General features: G+C 34.3%; 1 protein-coding gene across 8 annotated transcripts in view; it reads left to right on the top strand.

Annotated features, from left to right (window-relative positions):
• Positions 1-19,455, top strand: part of PAPOLA (poly(A) polymerase alpha) — a 64,741-nt gene extending 45,286 nt beyond the window's left edge. For 3 of the 8 annotated variants that reach the window (NM_032632.5, NM_001293632.3, NM_001293628.2), the window contains 7 exons: positions 136-257; positions 4,819-4,961; positions 8,186-8,286; positions 8,514-8,752; positions 12,988-13,050; positions 15,158-15,232; positions 17,294-19,455. In NM_032632.5, the coding sequence (NP_116021.2) occupies positions 136-257; positions 4,819-4,961; positions 8,186-8,286; positions 8,514-8,752; positions 12,988-13,050; positions 15,158-15,232; positions 17,294-17,389 (839 nt within the window). In that variant the 3' untranslated portion in view covers positions 17,390-19,455. The remainder of the gene's footprint in view (positions 1-135; positions 258-4,818; positions 4,962-8,185; positions 8,287-8,513; positions 8,753-12,987; positions 13,051-15,157; positions 15,233-17,293) is intronic. The other 5 variants (NM_001293627.1, NM_001363662.3, NM_001363664.3 and 2 more) reach the window with 5 other exon arrangements.

Here is a 20,437-nt window from a genome sequence, read left to right on the forward strand (position 1 = left end):
ATAGGTCTTGACCGATCTACAGATATGCAGTATTGATGGAAAAAGGATCCCTACTTAGAATAGTTTCTCTGGAGTGAGTATAACTGCCTTTATTAAAATGTTTCTATTTCTTGTAACAATTTCCTAATTGTATAGTTTATAGGCAAGCAATAAACAGCAAGATGTTTGAGGTGGATATGAAAATTGCTGCAATGCATGTAAAAAGAAAGCAACTCCATCAACTACTACCTAATCATGTGCTTCAGAAAAAGAAAAAGGTAAATTTAGAAAGTACTTACAAAAGCATTACTAACATAATGTTTTATGCATCTGGACTATCATTATTTCAGAATTTAGGCTCAGTTAATAAGTCATTTTAAATAGATGACAGCTTTTTAAAAATCTGTTTCATGGAGCAGTTTCATTATGTGAAATCTGACTCTAATCAGTTTTCTTGCACACAGTTGCTTTAGATTTTAGAAGGATTAGTGGTGATGCTTCATATCCTTACTTTGTATATACCCGTATTCTCTTTTAGGACTTTTTATTCTTATTCACTTAAAAATCCCACACCAGTATTTAATTTTCTTTCCTTTAAAAAGTAAACTAAATTAAATTAGTAAGGAAATATGTGGGTCAAGTAAATTATGTGAGACTTTTAAAAAATGAAAGTCGCTTTTTTTGGTGAATGTAAAAAATATAACGTATATTAAAAACTAAAAGTTGCTGAGTGTAAAGGAGGTCATGAACAGAGGTCACTGAGTTAATATTTTGCATTACATTGTTCTAGTGTTAGTGCTTCCTTTTGAATAACTTAGAGCCATTTTTTCCTTATTTGGACTTTAGTGAGCATATTGGAATTTTAGTGGACAGATACAAATTACGTTTTTTCTTTAAGTGATTTCAAAAATAGATGGTTTATTCTTATAATGGAATACTTCACAGTATGCAGCAGTGAAAATAAATGAACTACAACTGCATATACTAATATGTTGAATAAAAAAGGCACATGTATGTATGTATCACTTGATACTTCCATATAAAGTTTACAAGTTTAAAAACCTAAAAAACAATGTATTTAGGAGAGAATATGAAATAAAAGTATATGTTACAGAATGACAACTACTGCATTCAGGAAAATGGCTGGTTGTCTGGGATTGGGGTTGGGAGGAAAGGAATGAAATTAATACACAAAAGACTTTAATTTTATAATATTTTGTTTCTTAAAACAATATATTATGATACAAAAGCATTGAAGTTAATTAAAGGCAAGGACTCTGGAGTGGACTGCCTTGTTCAAATTCAGGCTCTACTGTTTCCTACCTGTGAAATTTGAGCAAGTTACATGGCAAACATCTTATTCTTGATTTGTCTCATCCCTAAAATTGTGGCAATATTTTTACCTATTTTATTAGGTATTTCATGAGGATTAAATGAGCCAATACATAAATACATGTAAATGGTGGTTTAGACTAGCTCCTGGCACATAATAAATGCTCATATTGGCTTTTGTTATCACCATCATTGTTATTCACAACTTGGAGATAGGTAGATAGATGGGGAGGGGTCTAAAATCAGTTTTTAAGGTTTAAACATGATGTTATTCTAATTTTTTTTTTTTTTTTTGAGACGGAGTCTCACTCTGTTGCCCAGGCTGGAGTGCCGTGGCACAATTTCGGCTCACTGCAAGCTCCGCCTCCTGGGTTCACGCCATTCTCCTGCCTCAGCCTCATGAGTAGCTGGGACTACAGGTGCCCACCACCACACCCAGCTAATTTTTTGTATTTTTAGTAGAGACGGGGTTTCACCGTGTTAGCCAGGATGGTCTCGATCTCCTGGCCTCGTGATCCGCCTGCCTCAGCCTTCCAAAGTGCTGGGATTACAGGTGTGAGCCACAGCACCTGGCCAAAAATTTTCTTCTTAACCTAATGGTTTACTAAAAATTTAGTTAACTAAATAAAAATTGACAAAAATGTACCATTCTCAATGTACTATTTATACACAGACTGTTCAGTGCATGTTTCCACATATTTATTGTAAAATTTTCCATCAAGCAGTTTTATTTTAAAATTAAAGTATCTCAGCTAGAGCTTAGCCTCAGGAAAACAAAACTAAAATATCAAGTTAAACACTTGCTTTCTAATTGTCCTTTAGTGTTGTATTATTAATAGGTTAAATCAATTGTACTTAAATGTAAATTTATCACATACAGAAAATATAAACATTTTGGACCCGGGAATGGTGGCTCATGCTTGTAATCCCAGTGACTTGTGAGGCTGCAGTAGGAGGATCCTTTGAGGCTGGGAGTTCAAGACCATCCTGGGCAACACAGCAAGACTCCGTCTCTAAAAAAAAATTTTTTTGAGAATGGTGGCCTGGGCCTTATAGTCCTAGCTACTTGAGAGGCTGAGGTGGGAAGATCATGTGTGCCCAATAGTTCAAGGCTGCAGTGAACTTATGATTATGCCATTGCACTTCAGTCTGAGTGACAGAACGAGACCCTGTCTCTTACAAAATAATAATTTTTTTAAAAAAGTATACAAACGTTTTATGTTTTCAGAAGTGAAAGTAGATTATGTTCTTTAGAACTTGGCTATTTCTTATGAATATTTAATTCATAATCAAATAGCTATTTAATAAACAGCTATTTATAACAGATAATTAGATTTCTCAGAATCATATATTCAGATTACCTTTTTAAACTCTTAGTATTTCCATGACAATATTGATATTTGGAACCATCTTGTGTACATTTTAAGTAAATTTGAATATAAGATGTTTTATTATTTCTTTAAATATAGTCATCTAGAATATAAAGAGAATCATTAATGATTGGAAATTTGTTTTTTGGTCCAAAAATTCTATCAGATGAAGTAACTATAATTTCACAGCAAACCTACTTTTAACATTTTATTTATACACAGACTGTTCAGTGCCTGTTACCACATACATATTTTTAAAAGGTTTTTGATTAAACTTGCTATTTTGTGACCTGCCTTTTTTTGTGTTAACATATCGTGACCATCTATCCAAATTACATTTTTAGTGGTTGTTTAATATCTCTTTATATAGCTACAGTATGATTAAATCTACCCTGTATTTGAGATCATTTAGATTATTTCTAAGTTTGCATTAGTAAAATAGCACTTTCTTGCTTAATAACAAGTGTCTAGGAGTCAAGATCTATGAATGTTTTGTTTGGACTCTTATAAATAGCTTCCTTTTATTAACTGCTTTTTGCAAAGCACTGTACGAGTCCTTTTTATATTTAATATTCCACCAACCCATGGGTATTGTCTTTAGTAGCAGAAACTGAGGGGTTGAGAACCTTGCCCTGGGTTATGTAGTATGAGCTGTGAATTGGACCTAGGTCTGACTGCAAAGTATGTGTGTGTGTTTCTTTCTGTAGTATGTTCTTTGTTTTATTTTATTAAAAATTATGATAGAATATTTATGACTATTTGGCTTTGAGGTCTCTTGCTACCAAACTTGATCTGGATATAGAAGCAAACAAAGCAAAGTAGCTTAATGCTGTTTTGTGTTTAGACCAACCAGATAAACTTTCACAGTTTATCCCCAACAGTGGCCTGTTAACTCACAGCTGTTTGGCCACTTAGTGAGGCAGGTAGGCAGGTAACTGTAGAACTGAATATAATTTACTTACTGAATAAATCCTCATATCTAGTGGAGAGTAAGATTGGTAGCATTGTTGAATAGAAGAGATACTCATTTATAATATTAGGTACTTCTATTTCACGACTGACTTCATAAGCAAATGGCATTACTCTCTCTTCCTCTCCTTTCTACCAAATCTCATCTTCCCCATTTGATCAATTTTCATTCATGTACATAAGTGATATGTCTAGTGCTAAATCAAAGATAAGAATATTTTGTTATTTGGGGAACTAGAAAGCAGAGAATGCAGGCACATGTATAAGGAATGTATTTTTGTCAACAGTATAAATTATTTTCATTAAAATGTTTCTGTAGGTAAGTGAACACAGGCTAAACATTCTGGAAAAAAAAATTAAGCTGAATGTAATATTACAGTAGTACCAAATAGCGAAAATTTAAACTCTGTTACTAGAAAGCAACTTTAATTCCATGAAACCATCCATAGTTTTTGGTTTTTCTGCATTATTTGTTTTGGGGTGCTTTGATTTTTAAGGAGGACCAACATTAGGATTTGTATATTATGTTTAGTTTTCAGAAAGTTATTTCTGCTTTTCTTTTCACAGGATAATTTACAGTATTAAGCATGCCATTTAAAAAATTCTGAATTGCAATTAGAGCACTGAAGTCTCTTGCTTTTGAGAGAGGCTCTTTTTATTGACAAATAGTAAGGAGTGGCAATAAGTTACACTTTTTGAAATTAAAAAAATTTTATATTTATTGTAGGATAATTAGAAATCTATATGTAAACAAAATCACTTCTAGTCCCACTTTCCAGAGTCATTGTAGTCCCATGTTTATTGTTGAGACATTTCTTTCTTGTGTGTGTATATTTTTAGAGTTCTCTGATTTGAGATTCTTGTGTTTTTATATTATAGTGTTTTTAATTTGTGTTGTATCTTACAGTCAGTATGTACATTTAATACGGCATTTCTTTCTCCCTTTTTCTCCCACATAAGAACTATATTTAATGTTGATGCCTTCTTAGAAGAAAGTACTTGACTCCCAAATCGTTGCCTTTTAGAGTCAGCATGGCACATCTAACTTTCGTAGATTTAGTGATCTGTGCTTTTCAGTAAAAATCATATATGTTAAGTAAAAGGTTTCCATGTTTCAACATTTGGATGAAATAAAGATATATTTGATAAAATGTTTTATTGTTTGCAGCATTCAACAGAAGGTGTCAAATTGACAGCTCTCAATGACAGCAGCCTCGACTTGTCTATGGACAGTGATAACAGCATGTCTGTGCCTTCACCTACTAGTGCTACGAAGACCAGTCCATTGAACAGTTCTGGCAGCTCTCAGGGGTAAGGAAAAAGAGGGAAATAGAAGTGGAGGGGCTGTTTGCTAAATCAATCAGATACATTCTCTTTTTGCTATTAAAGTCATCTATTTAGAATGTTATTTTCATTCCATCTACTAATTTTTTTTTAAATAGCAATTTAATTCCCAGGTTTGGGGATAGTACTTTTTGGTTTTGTCTTGTCATACTTAACATTTTATTTTTGAGACTGATAATGTCTTCAGTCAGATGTGAATGAATGTTAGCACATAACCCCTCCAAATTCATGTATTTAGATAGCTACTGCTACAGTGCACTGTATGGTGTGCTGATGAGAACAGACAAAAGGAACAAAACCACCTTTCTGTCCCAGAGCTGCTTATACCTTTGTAACAGGGAATGTGTCTATGATAGTTAGGGAAACCTGTTTTAGAAGAGCTAGATATCTGTCTAACATTTACAGCAGTTAAAATTTTAAAAATTTATTATTATTTTGAGAAATGGGGTCTGGCTGTGTTGTTTAGGCTGGCCTTGAGTTCCTGGATTTAAGCGATCCTCCTACTTCAACCTTCTGAGTAGCTGAGACTACAGGCGCATGCCACTGCCCTGGGTATGAAGCAGTGAAAAATTTTCAGCCAGGTGCAGTGACTCACACCTGTAATCCCAACACTTGGGGAGGCTGAGGTGGTAGGATCACTTGAGGCCAGGAGTTCAAGACCAGCCTGGGCAACGTAGTGAGACTCCCATCTCTAGAAAAAAGTAAAAGAATTAGGTGTGGTGGTATGCACCTGTAGTCGTGGCCACTCAGGAGGCTGAGGTGGGAGGATTGCTTGAACCTGCAAGGTTGAGACTACAGTGAGCTGTGATCCCACTGCTGTACCCCAGCCTGGGCAACCAGAGTGAGACCCTGTCTTAAAAAAAAAAAAAAAAAAAAATTTTGAGTCTCGCTCTGTCACCCAGGCTGGAGTACAATGGCGCGATCTCGGCTCACTGCGACTTCCGCCTCCCAGGTTCAAGCGACTCTCCTGCCTCAGCCTCCGGAGTAGCTTGGATTACCGTCACCTGCCATCATGCCCAGCTGATTACTGTATTTTTGTGGAGACGGGGTTTCACCATGTTGGCCAGGCTGGTCTTGAATTCCTGACCTCAGGTGATCTGCCCACCCTGGCCTCCCCAAAGTGCCAGGATTCCAGGCATGAGCCACCACGCCCGGCCTGTATTACAATTTAACCAATGGCAGAAGTGCGGGTTGGGGAGGATTCCCTGGATGAGTGTGAAATAGAAAATGCTGAGGTGTTGTGGATGTGTTTTTTTCTTTCTTTTGGACTTCATGTGTATATGTTTTTAGGCAAATCATGCATAATCCAAAGACTTCAGGCCTGAATATGTCCTGTAAGTGTTATCATTTTAAAAGTTTTTTTTTAAGTGAAGAAACTAACATTTTAATAAGAATTTTGGGATCTGTGAAAGTCTGTGTCCTTTGAGTGTGTGCACAAATATAAAATGTGTACAACTGTACTAAATAATTTCACAAATTTAGTTTTGAAGTTTAGTTTCTTGAAGTAATACTAAGTAACTTCTGTAAATAAAACTTCTGGGTTTTTAGAATACGATTGTATATTTGCTCAACAAGCAGTGAGTGTTTATTATGTACTAGGCACCTTGCTAGCCATTTCAGGCTTTCTTCAGCATCTGTGGTTGTTCTCTGGCCAACTATCCTTTTCTTTTTAGTCATTTAATATTTGTGCCCTTGAGGGCTCTCTCATTATTCTTTTGTCTGTTTATCCCCTCTTGATATTGTCCCTGAGTGGTAACACCTGCTCTGTTGACTACATTTACATTCATATACCAATGATATCCATAGCTTTAATAAGTTGACTGCTCCGTGGTTCCCTGTGGATGTCATGTAAGTACCAAAAATAACAAGTCTTCGAAGTGTTGCCTACCTCCTCATGGTGTCATCATTCACCAGTTTCAGAGTGTGGGTGATAGCTCTGAGAGAGAGAGAGAGAAAGAGAGACAGACACACACACACACAGACACAGATAGAGACAGAGAGAGAAACCAGAGGACTTTTCTGCTTTTGTTTTTCTTTTAGGAGGTAATAAAACCGTGAATTTATTTAAATGCTAATGTGTAGGATTTACTTGAGACAGGAAAATTGGATGGGAGAGTAAAGGAGTGTGATGATTTGAGTTTCTTGAGATGACAGGAGTTAGTGAGATTTAGAACATAGATTGGGCTTTTTTATATAATAAGGAATAATTTCTTTGTATAGGAAAGAATAGGGGTTAATTATAGAAATAGGTGTGTCTCTTTAATATTTATACTTAGAATTTGGGGTAATACTTGGCTAGTGGCTTTTGGTTGGTTGTTAAGTAGGAAGGTCATTTGAGATTGGCATGAGAAAGAGAAAATGAGAGAGAAACTTCGGGGGAGTAAAGAGGGTTTAAAATAAGTTATTTTAAAAGTAAGATATTGAAATAATCCCCTTGTCACTTAAAGGTCTTTAACTGGGCCACTGGATGGGCTTTTAGGGTTTTATAAAACTCTTATACTTTGTATACAGAAGTTTATTTCTGTTTTCTGTTTCTCAGAACATTTGCTCATTCATAACTTTTTTTTTTTTTAATAATATAGGTTTTTTTTTTTTTTTCTTGTAGAGACGAGGGCTCACTGTGTTGTCCGGGCTAGTTTCAGACTTGAGCTCAAGCAATCCTTCCACCTCACCTCCCAGAGTGCTAGGGTTACAGGCGTGAGCCACCATGCCTGGCCTCTTATTAATAACTTTTTAAAGGATTTTTGTTCGAAAAAATCCTTCAGTTAAGTCTCTTAGCCAAAATTAGCTAAGAATAGATCTTTTAGAACCACTCTGGCGATATAGTAGCCAGCCGCCATATGTGACAATTTAAATTTAATTAAAATTAAATAGTTTCTCACTAGTCATATTTTAAGTGCAGAGTAGCTATGTTTTAATAGTGGCTACCATGTCCAGTAGCACAGATATAGAACATTCTGTCATCTCAGGAAGTAACATTAGACAGTGCTGCTTTAGAAGGTTTGTGTACTATTTACTGTTGTTATACTTTATCCAATAAAGTCAGTTGCTAAATTGTATGTATAGGAAGTAAAACCAAAGAATCATTTACTTTACAAAATAATTTCTATATATGTTATAGATTATTGTAATTTTTTTTTTATTTTTCTATTTTTAAATTTTGAGACAATTTTTAATTTTTTTTTTTTTAGCAGAAACAGTCCTGCTCCAGCTGTAACAGCAGCATCTGTGACCAACATACAGGCTACTGAAGTTTCTGTGCCACAAGTAAATTCCAGTGAAAGCTCAGGGGGTAAGGAGATTGGGTTTGTCAGGTTTGAGAATTCTTACATTATATTTGGTTTAGCCTTCATTTTGAAAAGTGGGTTTGTTAAGTAGTTGAAATTCAGTTTTTTAAATGCCAGTTTATTTTTTGCATGTAAAGTTATTCATGAAATCAAATTCAGAGAAACAAAAACTTACAACTTGATACTGATTTGGTTATTTTAATTTGTATATACTCATATATTTGCTGCTTAGGTACATCGAGTGAAAGCATTCCTCAAACTGCCACACAACCAGCCATTTCTCCACCACCAAAGCCTACGGTCTCCAGAGTTGTTTCTTCAACACGTCTGGTAAACCCACCACCTAGATCTTCAGGAAATGCAGCAACTTCAGGAAATGCAGCAACAAAAATACCTACTCCTATAGTAGGAGTCAAGAGGACATCCTCACCTCATAAAGAAGAGAGTCCCAAGAAAACCAAAACAGAAGAGGTATATATATGAAAAACATATTAGTTAGCCATGGCAACACCAACTGCCTATTTTTAAATCCAGTGGAAGAAAAGTTTATGAACCAAAATAGAGAAGGATCAAGGAACAAAGCTTTTAGAAAATTTTAGGTGTGTCTGTAGTGCTTTAGTGCTGTAGTTTCTCTTCACCTTTCCCATTCTTCTCAGTAACTACCTCTGCTATAAAGCTATGCCCTCTCATTTAAACTTCTTTAGTGTGTGTAGTTAGCAGGTATTGTCTACAACAGAATTTAACATGAAATTACATGTATTCTTAACTTATTATTCTCTAATGACTACCTTTTATTTGTACTGATTTTTTGATGGTCCTTTGGACAGTTTTTTGCTTCTGTGATCCAAAAGGAGTTTTGGAGTTTCTCTACTGTACTTGGTGTTATAGGACCATCAAATACCAGAGGTTCTCAGGGACTTCTTACTGAATGATAAGTGCATGCAGCCAGATTAGTTTTTGAACCTTAAATGGTTAGCTCTCTAACCCTTAAAGAAACTTTCTAGCATCATTTGCATTTTTGTTTTTTAACTCCTGGGCACAGGCGATCCTTCTGCCTCCCAGGTAGCTAGACCCACAGGTGCATGCCACCATTTCCAGCTTAATTTTTTGTTTTTTGTTTTGAGACAGGGGCTGGCTCTTTTGCCCAGGTTGGAGTGCAGTGGAGCAATCTCAGCTCACTGCAACCTCTGCCTCCCGGGCTCAAGCAATCCTCCCACCTCAGCCTCCCAAGTAGCTGGGACTACAGGTGCGCACCACCATGCCTGCCTAATTTAAAAAAAGATTTTTTTGTAAAGACAGAGTCTTGCTATGTTATCCAGGCTTGTCTCCAGCTCCTGGGCTCAAGCGATCCTCCTGTCTTGGTCTCCCAAAGTGTTGAGGTCACAGGAACCACTATGCTTTGCAAGCTGGTATTAACCTTTTATACTACCTGGTTTATAATTGTTACAGTCTTAGTTTTGGGAAAACCATTAAAACTGTACATTGATTTCGTATGAGTCTTAAAATAGAGGTAGTCTTGTTACACAATTTTATTTCTCCCTCGAGTCACTTTCATGTTGTTTTCCAATCAGTGAGGCATTTGCAATTGCCCCAGAGATGACAGTCTAAAAGCACCAATTTCATTGTGTTTTTTTTTTTTGCTAAGAATGTATTTAGTAATTTACTTACTACAACACAATTTCTTTAGAGTGGAAAAAAAACCCCTCTAGATTTCTCATGGATTCTATTATGTTTTGATTAAGAATGGTGAAAAATTATTTTATTATTTTATTATTTAGCTTATTCTCTGAAGACTTTTTCTTTCTTTTTTTTTTTTTTGGAAATAGCTGCTATTAACTAAAAGTAATCTGATGAATTTTGTCACTCTTAAGATGGTAAATGAGAATGAAAAACGGGTATTGTATAGTACTTTAAATCCCCCAGATTACTTACGATGCCTAATACAATGTAAATGCTGTTTAAATTGTTGTTATGATGTATTTTTTAATTTGTGTCATTTTTATTGTTGTATTATTTTTTATTTTTCTAAGTATTTTTGATCCATGGTTGGTTGAATTCGCAGATATGGATTCCACAGATATGGAGGGCCCACTGTAAATAATCATAACTTAGAAGATGTGTTCTGAAAACTCATCTGTGTCTGTGTAATTATCTCTTAGGGCAGTGATTTTCATCATTGGTTGTACAACAGAATTAGTTTTTGGGGTTTTTTTTGTTGTTGTTGTTTTTCAATAAAGATTTTAGGGCTTTCTCCAAACTGAATCAGAGATCTTCTAGAAGTTAGGCCTGGAGATCCTATTAAGAGCCCTGCTGCCACATGATTGGGTTGTGCAGCAGCTAAAGAATATACTCAATTTTTGTGTCAATTACACATTCAGACTACTGATACTGGTTTGAAGTTGTCACGGCATTTCAGAACTCAAATTTCTTTTGACATTAGTAAAGTGTATTTAAGCATAATTCTATGCATTTAACATTTGGTTTTCTTTATGTTAAAAATGGCACCCTAAGAGCTCTAAATAAGTTTGTACTAGTGCAGTATTTTGCAATTTTGTTTGCACTTACCTTGGTAGAATAACACTTGTGTTTCTTGTCTGGTTTAGAAAAGCAATAAGAATATAGAATTTTTAAACTTAAGTATGGAAAATTAAAAATACATATAAAAGAGTCATTTTATGTACCTGTGTACCCATCACACAGCTTCTGTTATAATTAACTCTCAGCCAATCTTTGTAATCTTAATTCTTTCAGCCTTTTTCATTTTCTCTTGCCATTGAATTACTTAAAAGCAAAATCCAAACATGTTTCATTAGAATCTTAAAAATCATATCTAAGAATGAAAGCATTAACAGTAAAATTAGCCTACTCACAAAAATTAACAATTTATTAATATCATCAAACATCTAGTCAGTGCTCAAATGGCCCCTGATTGTTTCATTGATTTTTTAAAAAATAGGCTGTTTGTTTAAATCTGGAAGCAGAAAAAGATCCCTGTGTTGCAATTGTTTGATATCTCTAAGTGTCCTTTAAAATATAGATTCCCTCCTCCATCCCTCCCCCACTTTTCCCTGTAATTTTTTTTTTTTTTTTGGTGTATGTTTTCTCAGTCTGGATTTTGCTTACAGTATTTCTACGGAGTTGATTAATAGAACTATAGCATTTTAAGAAGATAAGGGGTATTAGGTTATTCCATGGGCTAATCTCATTTCCTACCAGAAGAACTTGCTGTTTAGTGGCTTTTCCAGTTACGGATCTAGTTACAGTTAGAGGCAGGATTAGAACCCAGGCCTAAATCTCATGGTGCTTTAGTCAAAAGAAATTTGCTGTGGTAGAAGTAATCCTGATTTTGAAGCCCTTCTTAATTGGGTCTTTTATTCTCTGCTAATGAGTACTTGGTATTAGAAATTTTAGCAAAGCAGAAAGAAATACTGGCCTCACTCAGTAATGCACTAACGTGTATATAGATAGGAAAGTTTTAGATACTCTGAGGTAGTTTAGTTCTGCTTAATGGTCATCATATCCTAAGGTTTTTCAAATAAATATAAATGGTAATGTAAAATAAAAATCGAAAATGTTTGCTCTATTTCCTGGATTATAGCTAAATTAACCTCTCTCTCTCTCTCTCTCTCTCTCTCTCTCTATATATATATATATACACACACACATATATATATGTATATATATATATGTGTATATATGTATATATTTAAAACTTTCTGTATGGAAAATTTCAAACATGTCATAAGTATAATGAACTGTCATGTTTGCATCACCTAGCTTCAACAGTTAACAACTCACAGCCAGCCTTGTTTTATCTACATACCCACATCACTTCCTTCCCCATTGTTTTGAAGCAAACCCCAGGCATAACAACCAAAAACATTTCTTTGTATATCTAAAAATAAGGACTTCTATAAAATATAAGTACCGTATATTTGTCACACAAATATTAATAATCCATAGTTTTACATATCAGTCAGTATTCAGATTTGGCCAATTGTGACACATTACTATTTTTAAAGTTTGCATATTTGCAGGGTACAAATAAAGTCCTTATTGGAATTGATCGATACTGTATTAAATCTCTTCTAAGCTATAAGCCTGTGGTTTTTCTATGCCTGTTTTAAAAGTCACATTTAAAATTAAATTTTAATTCTGCTGAGAAAATAGTGTCAAAATAGTTATTAAGACCCAAGCAAGGCATTTCTCAAGTCTTGTATTCTGTAGGATGTTAGTAGGTCGTACCAAGAGCAAGGATTCTCTGGTTAAGCTTGGGAAAATTAAAGTGGAGTTCTTTCTTGATAGAATTTATTAGAACCTTTTATGTGCCACTCTGTGTGAATCTCCCAGAATGGGGGTGATACTATGCCAAGTTCCTAAAGTTGTATGATCAGGAACTCTTTTTTTTTTTTCTTTTCCTTACAAAATATATTTCTATGAACTCTTAGTGGTTTTGGAAATGTACTTTAGGTGGTGATCTGCAGTAACAGTTTTCCTAATGCTCTTTTTAATTTTATTAGCTACTGAAGCCAAATTTAATCTGATAAAAACATTTTAAAAGAGGGACCAGTTATCTATTTTAAGGCTGTAGTTGATCTTACAGGTTTAATTATTTTATAGTTTTAAAGTTTATAAAGTAAAGCATTGATTGGCAAATAATCTAAATTTTTCATTTTAGAGAATAAAGCTTTTTTTTTTAAAAACAGGATGAAACAAGTGAAGATGCTAACTGTCTTGCTTTGAGTGGACATGATAAAACAGAAGCAAAGGTATACTAATTTAGCCTTTAGAATACATACACAATTAAGAGTACAGAAGATGTAATAGAAATGTCTCTAAAATATTGTATTTTTGTGCTATAGGTTTTAGATTTTTTTAGTATTGTTTATTACTGTTAATTATGTAATGCTGAACACTGAAGGGAATATTGTGATGAGTGAAACACATTCTGTGCCTTTAAAGGAGCTTATAATTAAGTAGACAAGATAAGTCATGAATGTAATTAATTACATTATCAAAGAAAAAGTAATTGAGGGCTGGGGGCCACGGGGCAAGAAAAGTAAGATGTTATTTCTGACTGCAGAAATAGCAGTACATGTCTTCATTGAAGAAAGAAGTAGCATTTGAAGTGGTCCTCAAAGGATACATAGGATTTTTGATAGTCCGGGCTGAGATCATGATCTGTCTCTTTGGGTTGAGAATTTGTTATGATTATAGAAGCAGTTTTTGGCGTAAGGTTTTGGCTAGAACCTGGGGTACATGGGGCTTGAATGAGGTGTAGATGGGGTGGAAGAAATTTTTTTTTCCCCAAAATGTAAAAGACTCATTTTTTTTCCCTAGAAATTGAAATCTATTGAAGGCTTTTAACTTTCTTTCCTTGTGGAAAAATTGGAAATTCTCCCCCTTCTCCCAAATTATCCAGATTTCTATGATGGATATTTTAACAAAACTCTCTTAGGTTTTGTGTGTGCCCTCATAATGCCCTTGCTTTATAATTTTGATTCACTTTGTAAACCAAGAAAAAAGTATGTGTATCATTATGTAATCTACAAAATTATTAATGGCTTCATAGAATGCTGTCTTAAGGCTATGATTATTTTTATCCAACCAATTTCCTATCCATAGCAATTATTTCCATTTAAAAAAGAAAGTTGTGCTTTCCTGCTGTAATATTGGTTACAGCTAAATACCATATCTGCCATTCATTCATGTTTATTTACTTAGCATAAATTAATGGAAGAAGAATTATTGAGGAAAATAGTATGCTTTATCTTAAAGTTTGGTATACATCACCAAGTTGTCCTCCAGGAAGGCTGCATGTCTTCCATTCCTACTTCTTACATCTTATTTACCTTTTTTAATTTCATAGGAGAAAACAATATTTCGTTTTTTTTTTTTTTGGTATAGTTTCATTGAAATTGAAGTTTTTATATTTTTCTTTTCTTCTTTGTCCTTTTTTTGGTTTTTTTTGAGATGGAGTCTTGCTCTGTCGCCCAGGCTGGAGTGCAGTGGGACAATCTCGGCTCACTGCAACCTCTGCCTCCTAGGTTCAAGCAATTCTTCTGCCTCAGCCTCCCGAGTAGTGGGGATTACAGGCACCCGCCACCATGCCTGGCTAATTTTGTATTTTTAGTAGAGATGGGGTTTCACCATGTTGGCCAGGCTGGTCTTGAACTCCTGATGTCATGATCTCCCCACCTCGGCCTCCCAAAGTGCTAGGATTACAGGTGTGAGCCACCACGTCTGGCCTATATTTTTATTTTCATTTATTTGTGTAGATATTATTTTCTTTTGTGTACTGCTTTTAAAAAGTTTAGAGTGATGGCATGACATACTTTACCCTGTGTTTTCTGATGAGTAGAATCAGTGCACTGATTACTAGAGAGGGGTGAAGAGACCATAAGGAGGGAGAAATCTTTTTTAGACATATTTTCTACTTTTAATTAAAGGTGTGAGGTTATTTTATTTAGTAGTATTGAATAAGTTTTTTTTTTTTTTTTTCCTCCCACAAAGCTAAGAACTGTCCTTGGGTTTATGCTCTGTTATTGTCTGGGCAACATTTCATGATGTGCCTATGTGTGTTTTTAATTATTGTTTGCTTAAAATGTCCCAAGTTGGAGCTGGTTGGAAAGTCATGAGCTAGTTTGACCCATGCCTTATAAGATTTAAGTAGGCAAATAGAAATTTATTAATATCTGAAATGGTGAAATAACCTACAACATCTACTGACTAGATGTTTTTGTAATGTAGTCACATCTTTCTCTTGATCCCTCCTGTCTTCCAGTTTGTCTTCTTTATTAGCCACCAAACCCAGTTATGTTCTTTTATTCTTTTTTAAGTCTCTTTTCCCCCTTCCCCATCCTCTTTGTCTCACAGGAACAACTTGATACAGAGACAAGTACAACTCAATCAGAAACTATTCAGACAGCGGCTTCTCTGTTGGCCTCTCAGGTACTAAGTGCAAAAAGCAAGGAGAATTTTGTAAATGTCCTTAAGATTAGTGTGGTATATTGAATTAAAGTGAGAGTTCATAGAAGACTATTAAAATTAATCTTTCTGAAAGTAATTACTTGCTAGCCTATAAACGTATTTATTGTAGTTTTAAGGCAGGGCCCTGGATTTGACGGAACCGTTCTCTGGGACTGTTTCGATGTTAACCCATCCCCTTATATTAATATATTATTTGATACTGCAAATCATTTAAATTCTCACTAGTCATTTACACAGGGTTCATATGTAGGTTTTATTTGTAGGTCAAAAGTGAAATTAAAACTAGGAATGAACTAAAAAACATTCTTCGTGGATTTCTTTTGCAAAGGCTAATATATTTTTATTTTAAAAATGTATTTCTGCCTTATTTTTCCACTACTGATTTCAGTTAGTTATTTAATATAGCCCATAGCTCTTCAGAATTATGTTTTCATTTGTCCTAGCAATTCTACTTGTGACAGACCCTCACATACAGAATACAGTAGGCATCTGGAATCTTTTTTCATTGATTTGTGAACCTTCATTTTGTTGAATAATTTTTTTCTTGAATCCTTTCACATGAATGAACCCTAACATCTAGCTCAAATTCTGACACAAAGTAGATATATTCTTTAATAGATGATAAAACTGGTTAATGTCTACAAAGTAACTGAGATAACAACTGCTGCTGTACTGATATGATACTATGTACTATGATGATATTTTGCTGCTCCTGTGCAGCTCCGAGTTATTTTAACGTGATCATTTAAACATGTGCTTTTGCTAGATGTTAACTTTTATTGACTCTAAAGATATATAAATATTATGTTTAGTTTCTGAAATACCTTTTCCATAATCTAATAAAACTTTAGGGGGAGTAACTAACATCAGGAAGTATGCTTAATATTGATACGTGGACAAACTTGTTTATCAGTCTTAAACTGTCCTGTGATTGTGATTGCATGTTTTTTGGTTTGCCACATACTCTCGGGACTTATTTTCATAGTTTTGTCTTACTGAATTTATCCCTATAGTAATTAGTACCCATGGGTATTTGCCTTTTAGATATTTTTATGAGTGAGTAGAATTTTCTTTCTAATGAAAGGATTCATAGAGCCATAGAGAGAAAAATCACCCAGTTATGTAAGAAGAATGATTATGTTGATTTAAAAAAAAATTCATTCCTATCTTTGGTAATGTTAGGGGCGTACTTATTTCTGGGGAGGTGATAATATTGTGGCTATACCTAATAAAGAGTTCTTATTGTTTTGAGATAAATCTGGAAATATTTATAGATGAAATGATAAGATCTCTAGGATTTGCTTCAGAATAACACAAGGTGAATTGAAAGTGGGAGGACAGTGGCTTTGATTTGATAATTGATGAAGCTGGGTAATGAATACATGGGGATGCATTATACAGTGCTCTCTACTTTGTGTATGTTTGGAATTTTCCATAATAAAACTTTTAAAGATCCATCTCTGTATTTTTTTAGTGTTAAAGAACGCTTGTGATTTAATCTAATTAATATGAAAATAATCTACCTAAAATTTAGGATGATTAAATTATTGCTTAGCTGTATATATTTGTTTAATTTACAGTGTCAGAAAATAATAAATTTACTGCTGCTTCTGTATATAAAATGAGCTTTGAGTATTCTCCCACTTGGGGGTGCTCCAATACTAGTTAATATTACAGCTATTAGTGTTGTAATAAGTGAATACAGTTTAGCAGTAACTTAAGCATTATATGATAGGTGATTCTTAGAGGAACAATTTTAAAAACTATTTGAAATTACTTAGGAGTTTTTAAAATATTATTAAAATATACCTATTTGAAAATTCCTTTGTTGAACACATTATTTGTTGAACAAATAATGTGATAGGCATATTTACATTCCATTTTGACAACATTATAGAGTTTTTAAATTTGTAATACTTTTCTTCTTAGAAGGTTTCTTAGGAAGTAAAGCAATGGAAAATACATCTCATTGTTAAATTATGGTGCTTTGAACAATGTTGTGTTCTTTGCTTTCATTCTCAGAAAACATCCAGTACAGACCTTTCTGATATCCCTGCTCTCCCTGCAAATCCTATTCCTGTTATCAAGAATTCAATAAAACTGAGATTGAATCGGTAAAAACAACCTCAGGGGTCCATAAACAATATCTGCCAACTCAACCTGTTGTCTTCAAATGCTAAAAAAGGAGAATGGAGGGTACAAGACTAGACATGACTGAAATGGATTTGGGTTTTTTGGTGACCTCCCTTACTGGGCTAATCAGCACTTGATCGGAAGTCCAGGTTAGTATGTGAAGCCAGGAGTACTATTATTATTGTGTTAGCAACAGTTGCATTAACTATTTCAAAAATTACTGCCTTTAAAAAAAACAACCTCAAGCTATATTTGTATTCATAATTGACATCTGGATTGGGTTTATGTTTGATGCATTGTTTGGAAAATTTGCAATACAAACTGGCATAAGAATTACTTATTCTGATGATGCACTTTTATGTATTTTTCATTAGAAAGTAGAACTAATTTTAGATTTTCAGCTTGATGGATTTTCAGTTTTTCCTGAAGAATTTTCTTTACCATTAGTCTTCAAATTGGATACTGTTGTGCAGTGGTGTACTGTTATACTTCAGAGAAAGGGTAAGAGTACATCTAGTTCAGTTCCTATGAGGTAGCTGTAACCCTTAAAAATGAAACGTCAACTCTAGGGTACATTTGACATTGAAAGAATAGTTAGGAAATAACTTGGTTTTGATAGGGTCATGATTAAGAAATGATATATTGGTTTTATTTATGGAATTGTTTTATAGTGCATACAAATCAGCGATCAGCCAGCAAATATTTTTCTTTGAGCTTGTGAAAGCTCTGTGTTCTTTTGCCTTCAATCTGTTGTCTTCAAAACAAACAAACAAAAAAAGCTTCTTGCGCCTTTCCCTCCCCTGTTTTCTTCCTTTTTCTTTTTGCTTGTATGCACAAGGTAGGACTTACTTCGTAAGAAACAAAATGCCAGTATTTTCTTAAGCCATGATGTGAAACCAATGACCCTGTGACCACATGGCACAGAACACTAAATTTTGGTCCCATGGCTGAAACTTGAGGGTGACTAAAAGTAATGCCTGTGAAACATGATATCTATCTGGGATGGCCATTTGATCTCTAAAAGGAATTTTGTACACTCCACAGAACTCCTATCTATAGTAAAATTGATTTTCAGTTTTAAATGTGGGCAAAAAGGCATTTTCTCCAAGATTTTAAAACTAATTCTTATTTTTAAATGGTTTACCAAAATTTGTCAGTACATTTTACGTGTAGAAGCATTTTAAAAATCATTTCTAGCAAGCACTTGACATCTAGTCAGCTCTCTACTCCTTTATTTTGTTTTATCAAAAGATTAAGAGCTCCTTTCTTTGAATAAAATAATTTCTCATAATTAAGCAGTAGAAGATCTATCTTCACAAAGTATGAGGGATGCCAGATGTTGATAAACTTACTCTTTCTGAATCTGGACAAAGTCGACTTAACAGATTTTTCTGATGAGCATGTTTTATGAATCCTCCATTGTGCTCCATTCTATCACATGTGCATTTTTCATGTTAAACTGCAATTACTTAATCTCTTCCCCTATCCTTCTAAATTAATTTTCTGAAGTTGGAGTGTAGTCTTTTCCCCCTTAGGCTATGCATTAATCGAAGCTTTCTTTTCACCATGACTTTATAATGTCTAGTAAACAATATTTCTACTTCCCACATCTTTGCTTTACACAGTCACCTTGCCCTTCCTTCCACCACCGAAGAAAAAAGATGGTCATACTAACAGGTGAAATGTACAAGGTGTCTGTGTGTTTTGTGTAGCTTCAGAGTTAGATTGAAATTACCAGGCACAGATTTAGTCTTGTCATTTTGTTTACACATTGGGGAAAACAATTCAGTTTATTAAACGTTTCATGTAACTGCACCCAAGTTTTGCCAAGCTGGAAACTTGGACCTTTTCTGTGTAGTGACTTTTTAATTATAGTTTTCATAACCTGGAGATCAGACTGTTGCTTTCGCATGATGTATGTAGTGTCTCATGACTGGAGTTTGCTTTGTTTTATAGTATCTGTACTCCTTGTATTTTTCAAGAGCTATTTTGTAAACAGATGATGTATTTCTCCATTGAAAACACAATAAAAAAAAAACAGCACAATCTCACAGTTGCCTGATTTCTTTTGACTACTACTTTTTTCCAGTAATCATAAGTTTATAGTATGATTCTAAGTGAGGATTTGCAAAAGAATTTGGTTACATTAGAAAAGATTTGTTTCTGGTTAACTTCAGCCATTGGCAGCAGCCTTGTATTTATAGCTCAGATAATAATTAGGTGTTTGTTTTTCATATAATTGATCTTTAGGGAGGAAAACATTAATATAGTTACTATTAATTCAATTTTAGCTCTTCCGTCCTCTAAAGTGTTCTGTGTCTGTAGACACCATACGTTATCTGTATATTTATTCTATGCCTGTGGACAGTGTACTGTCCTTTTCAAAGCATTTAGCACTTTAATGTCAGCAGGTGGCACTGTTGTTTTTCAGTGAATTTAGAATTACAGACCACAACCAACAGGATTCTATGTTTCTTATTTTACTAAATGCAAATCAGATATTGCTTTTCTTAACCCCCCAGATGCTCAGCATTGATACTTAACTCATGGTGCAGGAGCGAGCTGCTCTGTGTATTTTGTGATGGTCAGCTCTTGGGTATGGTTATCTTGTGTTTTGGGTGGAGGGATGGACTCTTTGTGTCAAAGCCATTATTCTGAGGGACATGCAGTTGTTCATATATCATTTCTAAAATTCTAATGTAACCTTCCCTATATATGAAAATGGGAATGTGGCTGCATTGTGGGATAACTTTTTAGTAAAAGCAAAATTTAACTTCTGAGACTGTTCAGTAAAAGGGAAAATATTGTAGGAATTACCCTTATCTCCCTTGTTAACACTAAAAGAATTGAACTGGCTGTACTTCCTCTACTTTGATAGTCATCTAGATGCAGTTTGTATATCACAGTTTCTGAGTTTTATCATCCACGTGGCCTCTTGGCATTTTCATGCATCTTGCTGAATTAGTAAAATTATAATGGAAAGTTGTGTTTTGTGGCTGTGGGTATATTCTAGAATAAAGTTTTTATTTTTCT

Source organism: Homo sapiens, chromosome 14 (assembly GCF_000001405.40).
Source record: "Homo sapiens chromosome 14, GRCh38.p14 Primary Assembly".
Lineage (NCBI taxonomy): Eukaryota > Metazoa > Chordata > Mammalia > Primates > Hominidae > Homo > Homo sapiens.